At 49.7% G+C, this 8,565-nt stretch overlaps 1 annotated feature.

Annotated features, from left to right (window-relative positions):
- Positions 6,595–7,106: an enhancer, noted in NCBI's record as "H3K4me1 hESC enhancer chr22:27196413-27196924 (GRCh37/hg19 assembly coordinates)". NCBI's record gives its function as "activates a minimal SCP1, AML or CMV promoter by ChIP-STARR-seq in primed H9 embryonic stem cells {active_cell/tissue: H9 hESC(primed)}" and the evidence as "EXISTENCE:reporter gene assay evidence [ECO:0000049][PMID:30033119]".

Here is an 8,565-nt window from a genome sequence, read left to right as displayed (position 1 = left end):
TACACAGCATCATTGAGAACATGGCTAGCTGATACAGAGGTTCCATCCTACAAAGTATATGTCTATTGAAGCATAGATATGGCTACTACTTATTGAACACAACTATGTGCTAGCAATGTTAAGCACCTTGTGTGTTTTACATTAGATCTTCACAACAATCATATGAGTGAGGCATATTGTTACCACCATTTTATAGGTAAGGGAACTGAAGCTCAGAGAGGTGTGGTCAATTACCCAAGAGCACACAGCCAGGAATATGTCAAACTTGAATAAGAAACTCAGGTCCATCTGACTCCAGAGCCCCCACCTTGAACTACTTGGCCCTGGGGGCCTCCAAGCTGTCAGGGGTTAAGCCCAGCACAGGGCACATAGGTTGTACTACATAAATAGATGCTTTCTGTGCTTCGGGAAGGCGCCAGGGAAAGACCAGTTGGGTCTGATCCACCGGGACCCTAAATGCAAGCAGACATTTCCCTGCTCAGTGCCCTCCACCAAGCCCTACAACAGCTGCCGTTCGGGCTGAATACCTCCCTTGCAGCCCTCTGGCACCAACCCTATAAATATTAAACCAACGGTAATTAGAGGAAATCAGTCAGTCACTGCACTCCAGAGCTCTGCCATGTCTCCCCACCAGGCTCAGGCTGCCTTTGACAAAGGAGCTTTGTTTCTTTTAATTTGGGGACCTCATACAAGGCATGTGTCAGGCACCAGGACATCAAGCTCATCCCCATGTGAGCCAAGGCCCTGCCTGCAGAGTCCCACCCCCTTGGGGCCTTGTAGGCTTTGCCAAGAAGCAGAAGAGGGGCTCCGCGTGGAAGGCAGGTGGGGGGAAGTGGCAGGGCTCCTGTCAAGGCCCGAGACCCCCTGGGGGACCCACATCTTTTTGTCGATCGTGTGGCATCAGGCTCTGATGTCGCTGCTTTGTGGGGCTGATGACACATAATGCACGGTGACAATATGTCACATCAGAAAACAATCCCAAACGCACTCAGGTGGGACTGCAAACCCCAGGGGTGCTGGGGAAATCAAAGATTGGGAATCTTCAGCAAAGGGGGCTGTGGGAGAATGAAAATGGCCCCAACCCACTCCCCTGCTTTACCTGTTAGAAAAGTAAACAGCCACGTTTCCCACCAGTCCTTATGGAGTTCAAATGAATGGGAGGGTGAGACAATGGCTGAGTCTCCCAATCCACACCATTCATGTAGAATTGTAGCTTCTGTGGCCATGTGGCTCTCAGGTGCCACACTATGGGCCTTCCGTCTCATATAACTAATCTTGCCCAATCCTAGCAACCTGTTTGCTTGGAAGAAGTTACCATTAGCTCCTTATACAGGTGGGGAGACTGAGGCAACTGAAGGTAGGAAGGTGTAAGAGCTGCATGCACAGGCTCTGAAATCACAGGGAACTAGGACCTAATCCTGGCTCTTCCAATCTCAGGCTGTGTCACTTTGAGAAACTTATTTGATCTCTCTGAGCCTCAGCCTCTTCATCTGTAAAACGGGTATAAAAATGATACCTTATCACACAATACCTGATACGCAGCAAAAATCAATACAGATTCTTGTAATTGTTATTATCAAAGACCACAGAGCTCAGAAGAGTTGGAGGTAAAATTCAAACCCAGTTTCATGTAAAAGCCCATGAACTTTTCTCTGCCTCCCCACTCCCACCCAGCACCCTATCTGCCACCCAGCCAGTTCCTGACGGTTTTCCTCTTCCAATACGGCAATTCATCAAGCAACTCATCAGCACCATGGGATGATCACAGCCTCCATATTTATGGGCCAAGATGTTCTTTGCAAGGTTTCCACACAAGCATCAGAGAGAGAAGGTGGAATCATCCCCATTTTGCAGCTGGGGAAATTGAGGTTCAGAGAGGCAAAGGTATTGTTTTAAAGCTACACAGAAAGTAACAGGTGGAGCCAAGGCTAGAGCCTGGGTCACCTGCCGCCCAACTGCTGCCCTCCCGTTTTTAGTAAAAATTCCTCAGCCTGTCTAGCCTCATTGGGTTTGCACTGCAATTGCAGATGTTACATCTGATCCCATAAATCTTCCCATTTCTGCATGGGGAAACTGGGGCTCCAGCAGGAGACCCGCCCTGCCGAGGATCTCAGTGTGAGTCAGAGTCGCAACAGGAAACCTGGAAACCTCATCCCTCAGGCCCCTCATTCTCCTGCAAAAGGCAGTCCCTGCCACGGTGAGGTCTGGCCAAGTGCCTGGGTGGCCCCAAATAAAGCTGCCCCCTCCAAAAATGGCAATAGCCTGAAAACAAAATCCCTTTGTGCACCCAGTCCATGGTCTGGAGATCTGAACCCGCAGTGGCTGCACTAACCCGTCTCGTCCCCACAACCCGCAGAGGAAGAAAACCAAACCTTGAACCTGACGAAGCCCATACGAGTGGCAGGTATTAATTGGTGCAATTAGGCAGCTCTTTCCCAAGGCCACAGAAGCTTCAGCATCGATAATTAGACTCAGATTGGAATTCCTTTGGCCCTGCATGTAAACAGGACACTCTTTCTGCAGTTGCGGTAAATGATTTGTTCAAAGGGGGGAAACATTTACTGTAATTTGAAAGGAGCAATTGACTGTATTATTAGTGGATGTGAGTGCCCAGATGACAACAGACTCCACATTGTTCTGTCTTCTATCCAGGCCTGGGGACAGGAAACTTTGGCAGCAGGGTCCCCCAGTGGTTGGGGGGGCCCCATTTGGGAGTCGGAAAGACCCAAACTGAGATTTGAGTCCCACCTCCCCGACTTAGGTGCTGTGTGACCTTGGGCAAGTAATACAACATCTCCCTTTCCTCATCTGTAAAGTAGGGATGACACCAGTATATATATCATGGGGTTGCTGTGAGGATGAGATGAACCAAACACATATAAAGTGCTTCATAAAATAAGCTGTTGACCTTGTTGTTATTAGTAATCATCTTGGAAACACTCCTGAAGTCCCAGACTAGGTCACAGTCAGCTACCTATTCCCAAAGGGAATAAACAAAACGAACTATAACCCACACAACGGGTCATGCCTTTGACATTTATTGAGCACCAACTGTATACAGGATGGAGTCAGACAAGGGCTTTGCTCACTGGGTGCTCAAAGTGTGTAGTGAAGACAGACACATGAACAGATAACGACCAGAACCTCACATCCACACAACACTTTACAGTTTACGAAGCATGTGTAACTTACCTTCAGTAGCCCCCAAGGCTCTCACTTGAAAGCTGGTGTTATTATGCCCATGTCATTGATGAGAAATCTGCAGTTTTAAATCACTTACCCAGAACCAGCATTTGAATTCAGGTCTGTCTGCCCCCATGCCTATTACGATCTCTGGCAAATTTCTTCCCGTGAGGGAACGGGGCAGAGAAGAGTTAGGAAATTCCACTATCCTGGGAACCCCAGAATTAGGTGTGAGGTTGGCTGACTCCATCATGGCGGCTTCTCCAAATACAGAGATGTCCTCACTGTTCCTCTTCCCACCTCCTACCCAGGCCCTACTGCAGTGCTCCTGGGTGATCCTCACATCTCATCAGCACCCACTCTGCATGCTCTCATTTGGGGGTCCCATCCCTCCTGGGGCATCCCCATCAGTTCCTTGCAGGCAACCCTCTCAGACAGAAGGTTCAAGGTGGGATGGCACTGAGTTTCAGTCCTGTCTCCATCTTGGATTAGCCGGGTGGCCTTGCCCAAGTTATCAGCACCTCAGTCACCACACCTGCTAAATGGGGATAATGGTGGTGTTGTTGCAGACTTAAGATGAGTTCATGAGGGCAAGAAGCATGCTTCTCTCATCCACCGCTACACTCCTGGCACATAGCACATACTCAAATATGGAAGGAAGGAAAGATGGAAAGAGGGAGGGAAGAAACCTTTTCCATCTTCAAAACCCAGCTCCAAAGCCAGCACCTCTTTGAAGCTCCCCAGGGTCTTTCTAGAAGTAGGGTTAGCCACAAAATATATATAATCTTTCAATGGAGGTAGGTGGCTTCCTTATCAATTGCACCAACTCTCCAGTGAGATAATTGGTTCCAATCCCAAATGAACAAGTCACTCCTCCTCTCTGAGCCCCATTTTCCTAATCCATGGGGAAGGAGGTGGGGCGGGATCACAGCACCTATCTCCTTTTGGTTGATGAGGAATTTAGATGATCTGTAAGATCAATTGCTCTTATAGATCAACTTAGGTGATCTATAAGAGCACTTAGCACAGTGTCTGACCAATAACAGGCATGTGATACTGTCTACCTGTGATCATCATCACCACTAACCATCACTTTCTGAAACTCAGTATGGTTGTTTTATTTTGTTTTGTTTTGTTTTGTTTTGAGATGGAGTCTCACTCTGTCACCCAGGCTGGAGTGCAGTGGCACGATCTTGGCTCACTGCAAACTCTGCCTCCCAGATTCAAACGATTCTTCCACCTCAGCCTCCCGAGTAGCTGGGACTACAGGGGTGTGCCACCACACCTGGCTGATTTTTGTATTTTTAGTAGAGATGGGGTTTCGCCATGTTGGCCAGGCTGGTCTGGAACTCCTGATCTCAGGTGATCCACCCATCTCGGCCTCCCAACGTGCTGGGATTACAGGCATGAGTCAGCGTGCCCAGCCTCAGTACAGTTTTAAAATCACGGGCTTTGAATCCTAGCTTTTCTCTTACTAGCAGTAGGATCCTTTCTCTTCATGGGGCTTCAGTTTTCTTATCTGTAAAATGGGCGTGCTAATAGCTTCTAACTCACAGGTGGGTGTGTGGATTGACTGAATTAATACAGATACTCAGCACAGTGGCTTGAAATCCTTTACTTGCCCATAGGTATCTCTGGATATGTCTTCCCACCCTTCCTCCCCTCAGCCAATGTGGCCAGCTCTGGTCTGCCTGTTTCATGACTCACAGATTCTCAAACCTCCCAAGTTCTGGACACCTGGTACGTCCCCAGTAAATAGGAGTTTGGATGCGCAGAAGGATGCTCTGAAATCGCAGCCTGGGAATGCCCTAACTGGATGACCGTCAACAGGTGACTGCCTCTCTGACCCTCAGTCTCTTCATCTGTAAAATGGAGCTAACAGTAACCCCTTCTTTTCAGGGTGGATATAAGGATTAACGAGATAATATATGTGCCTGGTTCCCAGTAAATACCAATAATAAACAGCGACTGTAAATGTTACTTGTTGTTCCTTCTGCCTTCACTCACCTCCTCTATCCTCTTCCCTACCTTCCTTTATCAAGGTAGATGTTCCCTAATTTCATTTCAACTTGATCAGCCAGAGAAGCCGGGGGGAAATTGCACAGAGACTAGATTCAAAGTTCTGTTGTAAGCCGGGGTGGCGGGGAGCAGTGTGGATGGGTGGGAGCACCCCAGCAGGAATGCTGTGTCTGATGGCACCATTCACACACTCAACACAGCCTGCCTCTCCCTGTGTAGCTGGAAAAAATGCACAGGTATGAAGGCACTTAACCTGTCTTCACCCAAACCAGTCAGAGCTGTCAAAAATCATTAGAAAGAGAAAATACCACCCCAAGAGGGTGGCAGCCCATCTCCCTACTGTCCCCTAAGGGTCCTGTGGGGTTGTCCTTCTTCTCATCTACTCTGAAGACTTAATCCTTCAGCAGAGGACAGATGTCTCTCAATGACAGGTGAACCCCAAGACCACTACTCATAGGCCCCACCTCCTGAGAGGGTCGAAAGAGGAGAATGCAAAGCTTCCAGTGGTCACCTCACTGAGATTGGAGTCAAGAGCTTGGGTTCAGGAATCAGGCAGACTCACCTCTTTGTAGCTGTGTGACTTTAGGCAAGTCACTTCACCTCTCTGAGCCTCAATTTCTTCATCTGTAAACTGGGGATTCAAATGGTCTGACATGGTGTTGAAGAGTGTAGTCTGGAGCCAAACAGCCCTGAGGGGTTGAATCCCAGACCTGCCTGTGAACTAGCTGTGTAAGGTATGACCCATTTCTTAAGCTCTTCGTGCCTCAGTTTCCTCATCTGTAGAATGGGCATGAAACCTTAGACATTTTCTTGAGGATGAAATGGATTAGTACTTGCAAACCACATAGTCCTGGGACATGGTCAGCTCTAGTGCCTGAAAATAAAAATAAGTAACTAAATTGTAGAGCCGTTGCAAGGATGAAATGAGATACTACCTGCAGAACTCTTAAAAACAACAACAAATTATTATTATGCCCATCAGTGAAACCAGATTTCTTTGGGCCTTGCTGTGTGTATTCTCTTACTCCTGGGCATTTTAGGACTTTTGCACATTGTCCGTGGGGTTAATTCTCAAGAAAAAGGGACTGTAGTTTGCTGTCCCTAGGATGTCACATTCTTTCTGCAGTGATGTCAGGCATTGCCTATGTAAATGTTTATATATCTGCAACCGGGCACACCCACACATGCCCACCCACGTGCACCCTCATACAGATCGTCACAGACTGTGCTAACACGTGTGGGCACACATATTCACATATGCCCTTTTCCCCCTCTCACTGTTCCCCAGAGAACAGCCTGCCCCTGGGTCCTGCGCCATGTCATTAACCGGCCCCAGTGACCTCCCTGATCTGGGGGCGGGGCCTGCCTGAGCCAGCACCTCCACATTCCCCAGGCTGTTTCTAACCCCTCCAGATCAGCCCACAGGGACTCAGCCCAGCCACAGAGCAGCAGCAGCCCCTCCTCCCTCCCATCTTAGGCTTGAGCAGGGCTCCAGGGCCCCAGAATTGAGTTCAGTACCTTGACTCTACCCCCAGGCCTGGCCACCACCTTCTCTCCCTCCCCATCAGCTCTTAATTCTTAATTAGGCCCCCTGCCTCCACTCTTGCCCCTGATCAGTGCTTCAGCTCTTAACTACAGCCAAAGAAATGTTCTTCAACACAAACCTCCTTGTTACAGGCCTCTCCTTCAAATCCCTATAAAGTTTCCCAGTTTTCTTAGAATACACTTCTCATTGCCTTTAGAAGGAAATCCAAACAAAGAGCCGCGGCCCCCTGGCCATTCCTGGCTGGCCCCTGAGGTTCCCCAGCCTTGTCTCCTCCACTCCTCCTTCTTTCCCCCCGCTCCAACCTCACCCCCATGTTAGTATTTTTTGTGTTGCTATAAACAAATACCCAAGACCGGATAACTTATAAAGAAAAGAGATTTATTTGGCTCACAGTTCTGCAGATGGTGCAGGAAGCATGGCATCAGTATCAGCTTCCGGTGAGGCCTCAGGAAGCTTCCAATCACAAAGGAAAGTGAAGAGGGGCAGCATGTTACATGGTGAGAGAGGGTGCAAGAGAGAGATGGAGGTGCCTGGTTCCTTTTAAACAACCAGCTGTCACGTGAACTACAGAGCGAGAGCTCACTCATCACCAAGGGGATGGCACTAAGCCATCTATGAGGGACCCACCCCATGATCCAACACCTCCCACCAGGCCCCACCTCCGACATTAGGGAGCACATTTCATGAGATCTGGAGGGGACACACATCCAAACTATATCACTCCACACCCTCCCACCCCAACCCCCAGTCTCTCTACTCACCTGCTTCCACTAGCCCCAGGGCCCTTGCACAGGTGCTTGCCCTGTCCTGAAATGTTCTCCTCTGCCCCTCTGTGCTGCTGTTAGAACCAACTGGCAGGTTCCTTATCTCACCCACAGCAGATCCGGCTGCATGTCCCAGAGTGTGTGTGACTGCCTCCAGAATCACCTAGAATCACACCTTCAGCCAATCCTCCCCAATCACCCAGAACTTCCAACCATGACCAGGGAAGTGTATCCATCCACAGATACCCACCTGCTCTCCGGGGCTGCCAAGGAGAAAAGAGAGAGGCTGACATAGGGGAGGAAGAACACCAGCCTTTATCTGTGCCCACCGTATGCAGAGAGTTCTACATACACGGCCTCATCGAGTCCTCACTGTGCAGATGAAACCACTCTGGTTCAGGGAGGTTACAGGAACCAGTCTTGAACCAAGAGCTGTGTCATGCCAAATCCTAGTTTTTCTCCACTGCTCCTGCCTGCCACAAACACTTCTGGTGGCCCCACCATGCACCAGGCCTTCTGCTAAGAGCTGGGGAAGCAGCAATGCGTAAAACCAACAGACCCTGCCTCGTGGGGCTGACAGTCCATCTACCTCCCTGGACATCATTCTCCCGCAAGGATCTCCAGCGGAGGAAAGAGGGAGATTTCCCCTGGATTTTAAATGCCAGATTTTGGGGGTCCTCTTGAGGAGGCTGGTTAGACGGGTTGACTTCTACCTCCAGAAGGATCCCTGAGGGACCGAGGAGAAGGGAGAGAAAATCTGCAGGAGGTAATCAGGTTCCCATCAGAGGTATGCCAGCAGAGCCGTGAGCCTGGGATTCTGACTTTGGGAGAGGGAGGAGCTGGGGGGCTGTAAGGGGCGTGCAGTGGGAAGACAACACTGTGAACCTCCCACTCCTGCCTGGGGGGGGCTCTGGGGAGAGAGGAGGGGCACTGGTCCTCCTTGCCCCTTGCTATGCACCCTGCACCGTCCCACCCTGTCCTTGGTTCCCCACCATTCCCCAAGCTCCAAAGCTCGGTTAATGTGCAGGTCGGCAAGCCAGGGTAAGATTCGGT

The sequence above is a fragment of the Homo sapiens genome, chromosome 22 (assembly GCF_000001405.40).
Source record: "Homo sapiens chromosome 22, GRCh38.p14 Primary Assembly".
NCBI lineage: Eukaryota > Metazoa > Chordata > Mammalia > Primates > Hominidae > Homo > Homo sapiens.
This window is presented reverse-complemented; position numbering and strand designations above follow the sequence as displayed.